Here is a 16,788-nt window from a genome sequence, read left to right as displayed (position 1 = left end):
CAGTTTATTTGCCGCAAAATTCCAGAGAGCTCTTATTAAAGAAATTAAAGTTGATTTGCATCATCAAATTAATGATATTCAAGAGTAGGTCTTACACTGTTTTTTTTTTTTACCATTATCTTACTTCTCATTTTCATATTGCATTCACCCATCTTGATTATTTACTCTTTTCTTCCTTTTTAGAATAATGAACACCTTTTCCCCTTTGCTTTCTTGGTTAAGTAATATTCCTCCATGTGTCTACATGTTCCAAATCTATATGGGTTCTTCAACACTGTTCTCTTTCCCCTGCTGGCTATCTTGACCATTACACATCCTTTCCTTTGCCAATAATGTTTTTCAATAACTCAGTTAAAATTTAAATTATGACATTTTAGCCTAAATGCAAAATACTTAATCTTTGATGAAAAATTTAAAAAGAGTATAAATCATCTCATGACTCCCAAGAGTACTATAGTACTTACAGATATTTTAATGCCAGTAATTTAAAGAGATACGGATCTTCAACAGTTGTCAGAGGATTGCGATTGAGAATTCTGAAAAATGCAATGGAATTAAAATAACCTGCATTTTCAATGTGTGAAACTGCATAAGAAGTTTACATTCATTTTTTGGTATGGAACTTGTGGGTAAAAAAAAAAGTCATTTTCTGTTTTTACCTAATAAATCAACATTAGACTCCGTAAAGCATTATTCCTTTGGGAACTACCTAGATCTCTAGGAGATAAAGTAGAGGAGAGAAAGAGGGGGAAAAATAGGGAAAAAAAAGTGGATAGCAAAGAAACAATATGCCACAGAACTTTTCAGGTCGAAAACCCTAGAAGTGACTATGTTGGTAGGAAGCCCTGATTCTGTAGGAAACACTATTTCTAGTGTCCTCCATAATTCAAGTTGCTCATCTTTTTGTTTTGTTTTGTTTTGTTTTGTTTTGAGACAGAGTCTTGCTCTGTAGCCCAGGCTGGAGAGCAATGGCTCCATCTCATCTCACTGCAAACTCCGCCTCCCAGGTTCAAGCGATTCTCCTGCCTCAGCCTCCTGAGTAGCTGGGATTACAGGTGCCTGCCACCACACCTAGCTAATTTTTGTATTTTTAGTAGAGACAGGGTTTCGCGATGTTGGCCAGGCTGGTCTCGAACTCCTGATCTCAGGTTATCCACCTGCCTCGGCCTCCCAAAGTGTTGGGATTATAGGTGTGAGCCACTGAATCTGACCGCTTGCCTTTTATCTTTATAAAGTTATTAAAATTTATGGTTTAATTTGCAAAGTTAAGAAAAAAAAATAGGACCAATTCTTTTGCTTTATAGCCAAAGAAAAAGGGATAAATCTAAGAGGAGGAACTGGTCAAAACCATACTCCCATCACATACTCCCACTTGTCTTCTTGTATGACATCATAGCCTTTGTTACATTGCATGTAATCACCTGTCTACTTGTCAGTCTCCTGGACTATCAGCTCCCTGAGGGCAGAGACCACATCTTATTGTCATTGTCATCCCTGTGCCTGGCATGATGTCTGAAATTTACCAGACATTTAATAAATGTTTATTGAATAAACAAATGACATTTTATTTGTATGTCAATAAAATGAATAAATTCTTTTTGATGCAAATTTTTATTCCAAAATGCTGGAATCAATTTTCTTTTTAATTCTTTAAAGTGAACAAGGAAAAGAAAAGAAACAGGAAGAAATAAAAGAAAATCTGCCTTTAGGTTAACCCAAGAATCATCACCATACTTTTGCAGAAATTATAAAAATAATAATTATTACAGTGAGTATCTATTGGGCTGCTAGGTATTTGTGATCAGCATTTCACATTTAATCCTCACAATGCCTTATGGGCTAGATATTATTATTGCCCTATTTTATAAATGAGGAAACTGAGGCACAGAGAGGTTACATAACGTCCTACATCACCAAGCTATTAAGAAGCAAAGCTGTAATTTGAAGTCATGTGTTTTAATCTGTATGAAGAAAAAGGGTTTACTTTAACCTTATGGTTTTTTAATTTTTATTTTATTTCTCTTTCTTTCTTTCTTTTTCTTTCCTTCTTTCTTTCTATTTCCCTCCCTCCCTCCTTCTTTCCCTTTCTTCCTCCCTTCCCTCCCTCCCTCTCTTCCTTCCTTCCTGCCTCCCTCCCTCCCTCCCTTTTCTTTTCTTTTCTTTTTTTTTTTTTTTGACAGGAAATGGCACTTTAATAGTTGGGGCCAGGGTGACAGGACCAAGATGGGGCTAGCCTGTGTCAGTCAGGAAGCCTCCCTCTCCTGCTGGGATAGGGCCTTGCAGCAGCTCCTCCTCCCCGCTGAGGTCCTAGGCCTGCCACAGGCTAGCATGCCAGTGAGGTCAGTGGCAGGAGCCACCCAGAAGCCCTGCAGATGACAGAGCTGAGAACAGGGACTTCACTTCCATGTGTTGCCATTTCCTCACTGGAAAGTCCTTGGGAGGTGGCTGGGCTCAGCCTGAGCTCAGGGCTCTTCGGTGGGTGTTGGGACAGGGGCAGGGCGGGCACTTGCAGGTGGCACAGGCTTCATCAAGGCAGGACATGGGCTTCATCAAGGCAGGAGCCAGAGCACCCGAGCCCTGGCAGGGGAGGTATGGCCCAGGATGGGGCAGGGCCGTGTGCTCCTGGAACGGACATCCTTCTCTGCCAGAGACCTGCTCCCCAAGCCCTGTCCCTCCCAATCCCCAGGCAGCCCACTCTGCCCTCCATAGATGAATCTAATCCCATATATTACAATAAACTGCATTTGCCTCTCCCCATTGCCCCACCCTCCCCTACCCTGAGCCAGCGGCCCCCACTTCCTCATCCCCTGGCGGTGGCAGGTGCCCCTCCTCAAGCAGTGCCACATCCTGTCAGCAGCCAGCTGTCCTGGCACTGGCCTGAGGGCCGGGGGACGCAGAGGGCGGGGCTGCGCGGCTACTCCAGGTAGATATTTTCTGTGGGGCAGGTGTACTCCACAAACTGCTTGTGAAACTGCTGGAATGCTCTCCCCACGGACTCTGCCAGGGCTTTGGTGGAGTCTTCAGACACAAAGACGTGGCAGGCAAACCGGTGGTCGGCGAGGTGCTTGGTGATGAACCCAAAGTACTTGTTGTTCTTTGGATGATATCCGCGGAAAGAGATGTTTTTTAACTGGAAAAAGTGGCTACATTTATTCCCCTTGGCCTCCTGGGAGTCATCGGCCTTGATACCTATCTTCACACCCCGCACGCTGATCTCCAGGACACAGCTGGAGGGCGGGTTAAAGTGCACGGTTAGCCGGCGGGTGGTGGCAATCTTTTGCATAGCGGCAGAGAGGACGACATCGCCCTTGTGATAGGGAACCTGGACTGAGCCCAGGAACTTCACCCGGAACTGGTCCACCCAGTCACTGTTTTTAGCCAGGGCTGCCATGTGCTCGGGCTCCTTGGTGACCTCGATGGCGTAATAGGCAGTAAAGATGCCCCGGGCACCAGTGCGCATGTTGTAGGCCTCGTACCAGTAGTCTTCAGCCTGGAGCTCCACTAGCAGAGGGTCATCCACTTCCAGCTCAGGTTCGTCTTCGTGTCGAGGCACAAACCTGAATATGGTCCGGTGGGTCTGCTCCTGCTCCTCCCGGTTGATGATGCAGGAGAACAGCCCGAAGGACTCGGCACTGGAGGAGCGGGAGCGGCCACTCATGAAGATGTTCAGGAACTTCTTGGAGAAATGGACGTCGGGTTCGTCAGGCGTGGAGTCCTTGGAGAGGCAGGCAGGAGGCTGGGGCCGGGAGGCCTCCTCATATTCCTCTCCGATGGCTGACTCATAGGGCGAGGAGACGGAGGCACAGTTGTCGTAGACGATGGCCGAGTCACTCTCGTCACTGTAGTCTCTGAAGCACGGCCGCAGGCTCACCAGCTCCAGCAGCGTGGGCTGTTGGTGGAGGTGCCTCGATCTGTGGTGGGGGCGGGGCTGCTCTGGGGGGGCAGCTCATCGCTCAGGCAAATGGGTTCATGCGGTGGTGTCTGCTCCCCTGTCTTCAGGGGTGAGGATGATCGAGACACCCGATCCTGCCAACTGTACTTTTTGCCCAGAGAATTATTATTCAGTGTGTCCTGAGACAACTGCACCTGCGGAAAGAGGTTGAGCGTGGTGGGCCGCTTGGGCCGGTACGTGTCCCCGCTGCCCGGGCCCTGGCTCTGGCCTTGGCTCTGGCCCTGGCCGCGGGACGCCGGCTCCTGGCCGGACTCGGCCTTGGGCGGCCCCGCTCCCGGCCGCCGGGCCGCGCGCTCCTCGTCGTCGTCCTCCTCGGCCCCGGGAGTGTCCCCCGTCGCGTCGATCAGGTCCATCTGCAGCATCTCGGCCTGCAACCGGCTCCCCGCGCCGCCGCCGCCCGCAGAGCCCTCCCTTTTCTTTTCTTTTTTCTTTTCTTTTCTTCTTTCTTTCTTTATTCTCTTCATGTCCCTTCCTCCCTCCTTCTTTCCCTTTCTTCCATCCTTCCCTCCCTCCTTCCTTCCTCCCTCCTTTTCTTTTCTTTTTTCTTTCTTTCTTTTTTCTTTCTTTCCTTCATTTCCCTCCCTCCCTCCTTCTTTCCCTTTCTTCGTTCCTTCCTCCCTCCTTTTCTTCTTTCTTTCTTTCCTTCCTTCTTCTTTCTTTTCTTCCTCTCCCTCCCTTTCCCTTCTTCCCTCCTTCTTTTCCTTCCTTCCCTCCCCTTCCTTCTTTCTCTCTCTTTTTCTCTCTCTTTTCTTTCACTCTTTTCGCCTTCCTTCCTTTTTTCCTTCCTTCCCTCCCTCCCTCCTCTTTCTCTCTCTCGCAAAAAAAGAGTAAGCAGACATAATATCAATATATTCATTTACCTCAAGGACTGAGAATAATGAATTTAGTTCATGCAACTATGATTCTTCTTGTCATTTATTCAAGAAACTTTGAGATTCATTCCCATTATAGCTAAACACTCTTGACACTGGGAATATAAAGATAAATAACTCACAGTCCCCACCCTCAAAGGTTTATAATAGAGTAGGAGAAGGGAAACAGTAAACAAAAGTTTGAAGTGTGATATAGTGAAATATATATATTTGGTCTTTGACCTCATTTCCTCGTATACACTTAGAATCTCCAAAGTGATATCTTCTTGTATGCAAACAAATTGACTGGTAGCTTCAGGATGGGGGCTGGCGGCAAAAGACCAAAGCAGGATTAGAGGGTTGGGACTTTTCTTCCCCACCCCCCAACCTCCCAGGAGGTGAGAGGAGCTGAAGATTAAGTTCAGGGACAGAAAAAGCTGCCCTTGAAAATTCAAGGCCTTGAAAATGCAGAATTAAGTTTGAATATGAAAGGGAATAATAGACCCAGTGCTTTGGGAGGCTGAAGCAGGAGGATCCTTTGAAACCAGGAGTTGAAGACCAGCCTGGGCAAGGTAGGGATGCCCTGTCTCTACAAAAAAAATAGAAAAATTAGCTGGGCATGGTGGCATATGCCTTTAATCCCAGCTACTTGAGAGGCTAAGGTGGGAGAATCATCTGAGCCCAGGGAGGTTGAGGCTGCAGTGAGCCATGATTGCACCATTGCACTCCAGCCTGGGTGACAGACCCAGCACTTTGGGAAGCCAAGGCAGGTAGAACGCAAGGTCAGGAGTTCAAGACCAGCCTGGCCAAGATGGTGAAACCCCATCTCTACTAAAAATACAAAAACTAGCCAGGCGTGGTGGCAGGCACCTGTAATCCCAGCTACTTGGGAGGCTGAGGCAGAGAATTGCTTGAACCCGGGAGGCAGAGGTTGCAGTGAGCCAAGATCATGCTGCTGCACTCCAGCCTGGGCGACAGAGTGAGACTTTGTCTGAAAAAAAAAAAAAAAAAAAAAAAAAAGAATAGATTTCCTGTGACCAATTTCGATATTATTTATTTTTAGCCAAACTTATTGATCCAGAATGACCAGTTTAGATAAATCGTGGTCCTGGGATGGAACACAAAAAAGTGGAATTTTATTAGAAAAGGAGAAGGAGAGTGGCTATTGAACATTGATGTTGTGTTCAATATAGTGAGGGTTTTTTATTTTGTTTTTTGAGACAGGGTCTCAGGGTCTTGCTCTGTCTCCCAGGCTGGAGTGCAGTGCAGTGGCATGATCATAACACTGTAGCCTTGAACTCTTCAGGCTCAAGTGACCTTCCCACCTCAGCCTCCTGAGTAGCCAGGACTACAGGCACGCACTGCCACACCTGGCTCATTTTTCAATTTTTTGTAGAGATGCGATCTCATTATGTTGACCCGGCTTGTCTCAAACTCCTGGGCTCAAGCAATCCTCCGACCTTAGCCTCCCAATGCATTGGGATTACAGGCACAAGCCACTACACCTGGCCTGAACTTTCTTATTCTAAGGATTTGCAGAGTTTCTGTTTAAGCCATTATCTTCAAATAATGGTTTTAATTTCTTTTTAATCTTTATGTAAAATACCTTATTTCTTTCTTTCTTTTTTTTTTTTTAGATGGAATTTCACTCTTGTTGCCCAAGCTGGAGTGCAATGGCACGATCTTGGCTCACCACAACCTCCACCTCCCAGGTTCAAGCGATTCTCCTGCCTCAGCCTTCCGAGTAGCTGGGATTACAGGTATGTGCCACCACGACCTGCTAATATTGTATTTTTAGTGGAGATGGGGTTTCTCCATGTTGGTCAGGCTGGTCGCAAACTCCCAACCTCAGGTGATCCATCCATCTTGGCCTCCCAAAGTGCTGGGATTACAGGCATGAGCCATCGTGCCCAGCCCTATTATTCTTTTTTAAAATTTTTTTAAAATTGAGATGGGATTTTGCCATGTTACCTAGGCTGGTATCAAACTCCTGGGCTCAAGCAATCCTGCCACCTCTTTCTCCCGAAGTGTGGGATTACAGGTGTGAGCCAGCGTGCTCGGCTCTTTATTTTATTTTATTTTATTTTATTTTATTTTATTTTATTTTATTTTTTGAGAGAGAGTCTTGCTCTGTCACCCAGGCTGGAGTGCAGTGGTGTGATCTCGGCTCACTGCAACCTCCACCTCCCAGGTTCAAGTGATTCTCCTGCCTCCCTCTCAAATACCTGGGATTACAGGTGCCCACCACCACGCCTGGCTAATTTTTGTAGTTTTAGTAGAGATGTGGTTTCATCATGTTGGCCAGGCTGGTCTTGAACTGCTGACCTCAAGTTATCTGCCTACCTTTGCCTCCCAACGTGCTGGGAGGGCGTGAGCCACGGTGCCCAGCCTTTTATTTTTTATTTTTATTTTTAATCTGTCTTGATTTTGCTTCCTTCCTAAACAGTTTTGGCTTCGTGATCACGTAAACCAAGAGTCACAAACTGAAATGCCATCAAGGGGCCAAGCAGGTAACAAAATTCAAGTCATACAGGCTCAATGTCTTAGTCACCCCAGGCTACAACAGAATATCATAGACTGGGTAGCCTAATAATACAGATCATTTTCTCATGGTTCTAGAGGCTAGAAAGTCCAAGATCGAGATTCCCAAAGGGTTAAGTTTCTGGTGTTGATGCAGGGCAGGTAAGCCACAAAACTGGGGCTTAGACTGAGAGGGTTCTTGGCTTCACCCAGGAAATAATTCAAGGGCAAACCGAAGGTGTTAGAGGCCAACTTTTTTTTTTTTCGGGACAGGGTCTCACTCTGTCACCCAGGCTGGAGTGCAGTGGCTCACTGCAGACTCTGCCTCCTGGGTTCAAGTGATTCTCCCGCCTCAACCTCCTGAGTAGCTGGGAGTGCAGGTGTGCGCCAAAACACCCAACTAATTTTTTTGTATTTTTAGTAGAGATGGGGTTTCACCATGTTGACCAGGCTGGTCTCAAACTCCTGGCCTCAAATGATCCACCCGCCTCAGCCTCCTAGAGTGCTGGGATTACAGGCATTACCCACTGCACCTGGCCTAGATGCCAACTTTTATTGAAGCAGTGGCCTATAGCAACAGCAGAGGGACTGCTCCTTGCAGAGCAGGGCTACCCTGTAGGTAGTGTGACCAGAGTAGCAGCTCAGGGCAGTTCTGCAGTCATATTTACATTGACCTTTAATTACATGCAAATTAAGGGGCAGACTATACAGACGTTTCTAGAAAAAGGCTGATAACTTCTGGGTTGTCAAGTTGTTGCCATTGAAAGGGGTGGTAGGCTGAGCACAGTGGCTCAGGCCTGTAATTCCAGCACTTTGGGAGGCCAAGGCAGGTGGATCATGAGGTCAAAAGTTCAAGACCAGCCTGGCCAAGATGGTGAAACACTGTCTCTACTAAAAATACAAAAATCAGTTTGGCGCGGTGGCAGGCGCCTGTAATCCCAGCTACTCGGGAGGCTAAGGCAGGAGAATCGCTTGAACCCGGGAGGTGGAGCTTGCAGTGAGCCAAGACTGTGCCACTGCACTCCAGCCTGGGCGACAGAGTGAGACTCCGTCTCAAAAAAAAGGCGGTGGGGTGGTAACTCTGGGTTCTGCCATGGAAATGGTAAGCTGACATGGTGCACTGGTTGAGCGTGTCTTATGGAAAGCTGCTTTCACCCTGTCCCTGTTTCAGCTAGTCATCAATTTGGTCTGGTGTCCAAGCCCCATCTCTGGAGTCCAGTTCCACCTCCTACCTCAGCGTGGGCTTTATTACCTGGCTTGCCTTCTTGAAGTGGCCTCATGTGGCAGAGAGAAAGCTAGGGAGCTCTCTGGGTTCTCGTCTCATAAAGACACTAATTCTATTAGATCAGTGCCCAGCTTTATGACCTCATTTGACCTTAATTACTTCCCATAAATCCTTTTTTTTTTTTTTGAGACAGAGTCTTACTCTGTCACCCTGGCTGGAGTGCAGTGGCATGCTCTCGACTCACTGCAACCTCTGCCTCCCAGGTTCAAGCAATTCTCCTTCCTCAGCCTCCTGAGTAGCTAGGACTACAGGTGCGCACCACCATGCCTGTCTAATTTACGTTTATTTTTTTTTTTGAGATGGAGTCTTGCTCTGTCGCCCAGGCTGGAGCGCAGTGGTGTGATCTCGGCTCACTGCAACCTCTGTCTCCCGGGTTCAAGCGATTCTCCTGCCTCAGCCTCCCAAGTAGCTGGGACTACAGGCGTGTGCCACGACACCTAGCTAATTTTCTTTTTTTTTTTTTTGTATTTTTAGTAGAGATGGGTTTCACTGTGTTAGCCGGGATGGTCTTGATCTCCTGACCTCGTGATCTGCCCGCCTCGGCCTCCTAAAGTGGTGAGATTACAGGTGTGAGCCACTGCACCCCGCCAAGTTTTTATATTTTTAGTAGAGATGTTTTTAGTAGAGATGGGGGTTTCACCATCTTGGCCAGGCTGGTCTTGAACACCTGACCTCAAATGATCCACCCGCCTTGGCCTCCCAAAGTGCTGTGATTATAGGCTTGAGCCATCGCATCCAGCCCCACAGGTAATACTTAATGATGAAAGACTATAAGTTTTTCTCCTAAGATCAGGAAGAAGACAAGGATATTCACTCTTGCCACCTCTATTCAACATTATACTTAAATTTCTAGCCAGGAAATTAGCAAGAAAAAGAAATAAAAGCCACACAAATTAGAAAGGAAGAAATAAAACCATATGTATTTGCATATGACATGATCTTGTATGTAGGAAATTCTAAGGAATCCACAAAACCGTCAGAACAAGTAAACAAATTCAGCAAAGTTGCAGGTGTAAGAGTGATATAAAAAAAATTGGCCTGGCGCAGTGGCTCATGCCTATAATCCCAGCACTTTGGGAGGCCTAGGTGAGCAGATCATGAGGTCAGGAGTTCGAGACTAACCTGACCGGTGGGGGGGGGGTCAGCCCCCCCGCCCGGCCAGCCGCCCCGTCCGGGAGGTGAGGGGCGCCTCTGCCCGGCCGCCCCTACTGGGAAGTGAGGAGCCCCTCTGCCCGGCCACCACCCCGTCTGGGAGGTGTGCCCAACAGCTCATTGAGAATGGGCCAGGATGACAATGGCGGCTTTGTGGAATAGAAAGGCAGGAAAGGTGGGGAAAAGATTGAGAAATCGGATGGTTGCCGTGTCTGTGTAGAAAGAAGTAGACATGGGAGACTTTTCATTTTGTTCTGCACTAAGAAAAATTCCTCTGCCTTGGGATCCTGTTGATCTGTGACCTTACCCCCAACCCTGTGCTCTCTGAAACATGTGCTGTGTCCACTCAGGGTTAAATGGATTAAGGGCGGTGCAAGATGTGCTTTGTTAAACAGATGCTTGAAGGCAGCATGCTCGTTAAGAGTCATCACCAATCCCTAATCTCAAGTAATCAGGGACACAAACACTGCGGAAGGCCGCAGGGTCCTCTGCCTAGGAAAACCAGAGACCTTTGTTCACTTGTTTATCTGCTGACCTTCCCTCCACTATTGTCCCATGACCCTGCCAAATCCCCCTCTGTGAGAAACACCCAAGAATTATCAATAAAAAAATAAATTTAAAAAAAAATAAAAATTAAAAAATAAATAAATAAAATGATAAAAAAAAAAAAAAAAAAGAACATCTTGAGACTAACCTGACCAACATGGTGAAAACCCATCTCTACTAAAAATACAAAAATTAGCTGGGGGTTGCGGCACGCACCTGTAATCACAGCTGTTCGGGAGACTGAGGCAAGAGAATTGCTTGAACCCAGGAGGCAGAGGTTGCAGTGAGCCGAGATCACACCACTGCACTCCAGCCTGGGTAACAGAGCGAGACTGTCTCAAAAAAAAAAAAAAAAAGTAAATAAATAAATAAATTGTATTTCTATACAGTAACAATTAGCAAGCTGAAAATGAAACTAAGAAAATTCATTTACAATATCGTTTACAAACACACACTTAGGAATAAATTTGACCAAAGTGCTAGACCTTGTTCTTATTTATTTATCTTTTGGTTCCTAAAGTATCCACACCAAACACAAAATAAAGCAAAATCTTTTTTTTTTTTTTTTTTTTGAGACGGAGTCTCACTCTTTTGCCCAGGCTGGACTGCAGTGGCGCTATCTTGGCTCACTGCAAGCTCTGCCACCCGGGTTCACACCATTCTCCTGCCTCAGCCTCCCAAGTAGCTGGGACTACAGGTGCCTGCCACCGCGCCTGGCTAATTTTTTGTATTTTTAGTAGAGACGGGGTTTCACCGTGTTGGCCAGGATGGTCTCGATCTCCTGACCTCGTGATCTGCCCGCCTTGGCCTCCCAAAGTGCTGGGATTACAGGCATGAGCCACCGTGCCCAGCCACAAAGTCTTAATAGTAATAAATTAATTTTGCAAAGTTGGAGGATACAAGATCAACGTACAAAAATCAGTTGTTTATTTATTTATTTTTTAAGAGACAAGACTGCACTATGTTGCCGAGGCTAGAATGCAGTGATCATTTACAGGCACAATTATAATGCACTATAGCCTCAAACATGGCCACAAGCAATCCTCCTGACTCAGCCTCCCAAGTAGCTGGGACTACAGGTGGTGCACCACTACACCTGGCTCAGTTGAATTTCTATACACTAGAAATGAACAATCCAAAAATGAAATTAATAAAACAATTCCATTTGTAATGGCACCAAAAAAAACTTAGGAATGAATTTAACCAAGGAAGTGCAAACTACAAAACATTATTGAAAGAAATTAAACTTAAATACATGAAAAGACATTGTGTGTTCATGGATTGAAACACTTACTACTCTTCACATAGCAATGCCTCCCAAATTGATCTACAGACTCAACACAATCTCTATCAAAATCCCAACTACCTTTTTTGCAAAAATGGACAAGCTGATTCTAAAATTCACATTAAATTGTAAGGAACTTCAAATAGACAAAACAATCTTGAAAAATAAGAACAAAATTGGAAGACTCACGCTTCTTGATTCAAAATCTAATTCACAGTACCAGTAGTTGAGCCCCTGGGCACTGGCATAAGGACTGACATATAGATCAATGGAATAGAATTGAAAGTCCAGAAATGAGTGCTCACATTACGGTCAACTGATTTTTTTTCTTTTTTGAGACAGGGTCTCACTCTGTCACCCAGGCTGGAGTGCAGTGATCAAGGCTCACTGCAGCCTCCGTCTCCCGATCCCCCTGCCTCAGCCTCCTAAGTCACTGGGACCACAGGCATGTGCCACCACGCCCAGCTAATCTTTTTTTTTTTGAGACAGAGTTTCATTCTTGTTGCCCAGGCTGGAGTGCAATGGCGCAATCTCGGCTCACCACAACCTCCGCCTTCTGGGTTCAAGCAATTCTTCTGCCTCAGCCTCCCTAGTAGCTGGGATTTACAGGCATGAGTCACCACTCCAGACTAATTTTGTATTTTTAGCAGAAATGGGGTTTCTCCATGTTGGTCAGGCTGGTCTTGAACTTCTGACCTCAGGTGATCCACCTGCATTGGCCTCCCAAAGTGCTGGGATTACAGGCGTGAGCCACCATGTCTGGCCTGCCCAGCTAATCTTTTTAATAATTATTTTTAGAAATGGAGTGTGCCTATATTGCCCAGGCGGGTTTTGAACTTCTGGGCTCAAATGGTCTTCTTGCCTTGGCCTCCCAAAATACTGGGATTACAGGTGTGAACCATGGTGCCCAGCCAAGGTCAACTGATTTTTAACAAATATGCCAAGACAATTCAATGAGAGAAAGTGTAGAAAAAAAAGTCTTTTCAAACAATGGTCCTGGGACAACTGGATACCCACACACAATAGAATGAAGTTGAAACCTCACCTCATATTATCTATAAAAATTAACTCAAAATATAACAAAGCCTTTGTTTATAAAACATTTGTTAGACTGAAAAGTAGAAAACTCTTTTTTTTGTTTTTAGATGGAGTCTTGCTCTGTTGCTCTGTTGCCAGGCTGGAGTGCAGTGGCATGATCTCAGCTCACTGCAACCTCCACCTCCTGGGTTCAAGCCATTCTCCTGCCTCAGCCTCTGGAGTAGCTGGGACTACAGGTGCGCGCCACCACGCCCAACTAATTTTTTTTTTTTTTTTTGAGACCGAGTTTTGCTCTTGTTGCCCAGGCTGGAGTGCAATGGCACGATCTTGGCTCACCGCAACCTCTGCCTCCTGCGTTCAAGCGATTCTCCTGCCTCAGCTCCCAAGTAGCTGAGATTACAGGCATGCGCCACCATGCCCTGCTAATTTTTTTGTATTTTTAGTAGAGACGGGGTTTCTGCATGTTGATCAGGCTGGCCTCGAACTCCCGACCACAGGTGATCCACCCACCTTGGCCTCCCAAAGTGCTGGGATTACAGGCATGAGCAACCATGCCCGGCCCAGTTTTTATTTTTTTAATAGAGACAGTGTTTCACCATGTTGGCCTTAGAGGAAAACATAGACATACATCTTTATGACCTTTGGATTAGCAAGTTTTCTTAGATATGACACAAGTGTTTAACACAGAGCTCCCATATGACCCAGTAATTCCATTCCGAGGTATATATGCCAAGAGAAATGAAAACAGAAAAACTTAAAACACACACACATATGGCGAAACCCTATCTCTACTAAAAATACAAAAATTTTGCTGGTGTGGTGGCTCATGCATGTAATCCCAGCACTTTGGCGGGCTGAAGAAGGTGGATCATTTGAGGTCAGGAGTTTGAGATCAGCCTGGACAACATGGTGAAACCCCATCTCTACTAAAAATACAAAAATTAGCTGGGTGTGGTGGCACACGCTTGTAATCCCAGCTACTTGGGAGGCTGAGGCAGGAGAATCTCTTGAACCCAGGAGGTGGAGCTTGCAGTGAGCCGAGATCACACCACTGCACTCCGTCCTGGGCAACAGAGACTCTATCTCAAAAAAAAAAAAAAAAAAAAAAAAAAGAAACAAAGAAAGAAAAATTAGCCGGGCATGGTGACAGGTGCCTGTAATCCCAGCTACTTGGGAGATTGAGGTGGGAGGATCAGTTGAACCTGGGAAGCAGAGGTTGCAGCCAGCTGGGATTGTGCCACTGCACTCCAGCCTGGGCAACAGAGTGAGACTCCGTCTCAAAAAATAAAAATAAAAATAATACACACACACATATACACATACACCTCTTTATTTCTTCAGCGAGACCTGAAGATATATATCCATAACATAAGAACAGGATGCTATAAAAAATGAACAATAAGAAAGCAAGAAAAACTATCATAAATTAGAAATATGATAGCCAAGGCTGGGTGCAGTGGCTCACACCTGTAATCTCAGCACCTTGGGAGGCTGAGGCATGTGGATCACTTGAGGCCAGGAGTTTGAGACCAACCTGGCCAATATGGTGAAACCCCGTCTCTACTGAAAATACAAAAATAAGCTGGGCATGCTGGACCACGCCTGCAATCCCAGCTACTCAGGAGGCTGAGGCAGGAGAATCACTTGAACCCAGGAGGCAGAGGTTGCAGTGAGCTGAGATCAAGCCACCGCATTCCAACCTGGGTGACAGAGTGAGAACCTGTCTCAAAAAAAAAATAAATAAATAAAAGCCAAAATTAAAAATTCAATACAAAATTTGAAGGTTGAAGAAATCTCCTAGAATGTAGTATTTAAATTCTTTTTCTTTTGAGACAAGGTCTTGCTCTGTCTCCCAAGCTGCTGTGCCGTGGCGCCATTCTAGCTTACTGCAAGCCTCAAACTCCTGGCCTCAAGCAAGTCTCATATCTCAACCTCTCAAAGTGCTGGATTATAGGCATGAGCCACTGCAGCTGGCCAGAATGTAGAATTTAAAAGGTGTTGAAAAATATAAAAAATAAGAAAATTGGAGGATTGAGGCTGGTTGAAGGCAGAGGCAGGAGAATAGCTTGAGCCCAGGAGCTTGAGTATAGCCTGGGAAACACAGAAAGCCCATCTCTATATTTAAAAAAAAAATTCTTTTTTTTTTTTTTTTTAAGAGAGAGTCTTGCTCTGTCACCCAGGCTGGAGTGCAGTGGTGCGATCTTGGCTCACTGCAACCTCCACCTTCCGGGCTCAAGCAATTCTTATGCCTCAGCCTCCCATGTAGCTGAGATTATAGGTGTGTGCCACCACACCCGGCTAATTTTTGTATTTTTAGTAGAGACAGGGTGGGAGAGTGTTGGGGGAGATGGGGCATGGCAGGGAGGGGATGGCGGGTTTTACCATGTTGGCCAGGCTGGTCTTGAGCTCCTGGCTTCAGGTGATCCTCCCACCTCAGCCTCTAAAAGTGGGATTACAGACGTAAACCACCGCGCCCAGCATTTTTTTTTTTTTTTTTAGACAGTGTTGCTGTGTTGCCCAGGCTGGAGTGCAGTAGCACAATCTCGGCTCACTGCAACGTCTGCCTCCTGGGCTCCAGCGATTGTCGTGCCTCAGCCTCCCAAGTAGCTGGGATTACAGGTGCACACCATCATGCCTGGCTAACTGTATTTTTAGTAGAGATGGGGTTTCACCATGTTGGCCAGGCTGCTCTCAAACTCCTGGCCTCAAGCAATCCACCTGCCTCAGCCTCCCACAGTGCTGGGATTACAGGCCTGAGCCACTGCACCAAGCCCCAGCTCCAGATTGTGAGTTTCAGAGCCAGGCTAGATAGGATTCAGACTCAGAACTGTGAGATTTCTGCCGCTCAGGCTGTTAACCAGTGACTCATGGTTTTTTTTTTTTTTTAGGCAGAGTTTTACTCTTGTTGCCCAGGCTGGAGTGCGATGGCTCGATCCCAGCTCATTGCAACCTCCGCCTCCCAGGTTCAAGTGATTCTCCTGCCTCAGCCTCCCAAGTAGCTGGGATTACAGGTGCCCGCCACCATGCCCAGCTAATTTTTGAATTTTTAGTAGAGACGGGGTTTCACCATGTTGGCCAGGCTGGTCTTGAGCTCCTGACTTCGTGATCTGCCCACCTCGGCCTCCCAAAGTGCTGGAATTACAAGCGTGAGCCACCGCGCCCTGCCTGACTTGTGGTCTTTTGAGATTATTTCTGATGTCCCATAGACATTTCAAAAGCAAAATGTCAAAAGCTACACTTGCCTCTCAAACCTTCATTCTCTCTGTGTGATAGGCACCCTCCTTCCCATCTTCCTTCGCTTCCATGGGTCACTCAAAGCTGAAGACCTGCAAGCCATCTCAGGATCCTGTCCTGTATCCCATCAACACTCATCACACCCTCTCAATTCTGGCTCCTAAATACCCCTTGGATTTGGCCTCTCTTCCCCGTTCCCCACTGGCATTGTTTTATTTCAGGTCTTTATGATTTCTTGCCTGGGTTTCTGCAGCAGCCTCCTAACTGCTCTCCCTGACTCCAGTCTTGCCCTCTCTGTTTCATTTTTCATATTGCACACAGGGTGATTTTTCTAAAATATAAATGTGACCACATCTCTTGCAGGCTTAAAACCTCTCAAAGGTTCTTCACCCCCTCAAGGCTGCAGCACACACCTCCCAGCACAGCTCTGCAAGTTGACCCCGCCCTTCTTCTCCATCGGTGGTTCTCAGAGTGTAGCCCTCCGAGCAGCAGCACTCTGACCCGCTCCATCAAGATCTCTAGGCTTGGAGCTTGCGAGACTATGTAAACAAGGCCAGTTTTTTGTTCGTTTGTTTGTTTTTTGGAGACAGAGTCTCGCTGTGTCACTCAGGCTGGAGTGCAGTGGCTTGATCTTGGCTTACTCCATCTCCACCTCCCAGGTTGAAGTGATTCTCCCGCCTCAACCTCCTGAGCAGCTGGGACTATAGGTGTGCACCACCACACCCAGCTAATTTTTGCATTTTTAGTAGAAATGGGGTTTCAGGCCGGGCGCGGTGGCTCACGCCTGTAATCCCAGCACTTTGGGAGGCCAAGGCGGACGGATCACGAGGTCAGGAGATCGAGACCATCCTGGCTAACATGGTGAAACCCCGTCTCTACTAAAAATACAAAAAAATTAGCCGGGCATGGTAGCGGGTGCCTGTAG

At 46.5% G+C, this 16,788-nt stretch overlaps 1 pseudogene; it reads right to left on the bottom strand.

Moving 5' to 3' along the window:
• Positions 1-2,717: 2,717 nt before the first annotated feature.
• On the bottom strand, positions 2,718-4,357 carry MAPK8IP1P1 (mitogen-activated protein kinase 8 interacting protein 1 pseudogene 1; annotated as a pseudogene).

This window comes from Homo sapiens, chromosome 17, assembly GCF_000001405.40.
Source record: "Homo sapiens chromosome 17, GRCh38.p14 Primary Assembly".
NCBI lineage: Eukaryota > Metazoa > Chordata > Mammalia > Primates > Hominidae > Homo > Homo sapiens.
Note: the sequence above shows the minus strand (reverse complement) of the source record. Positions and strands in the feature narration are given on the sequence as shown.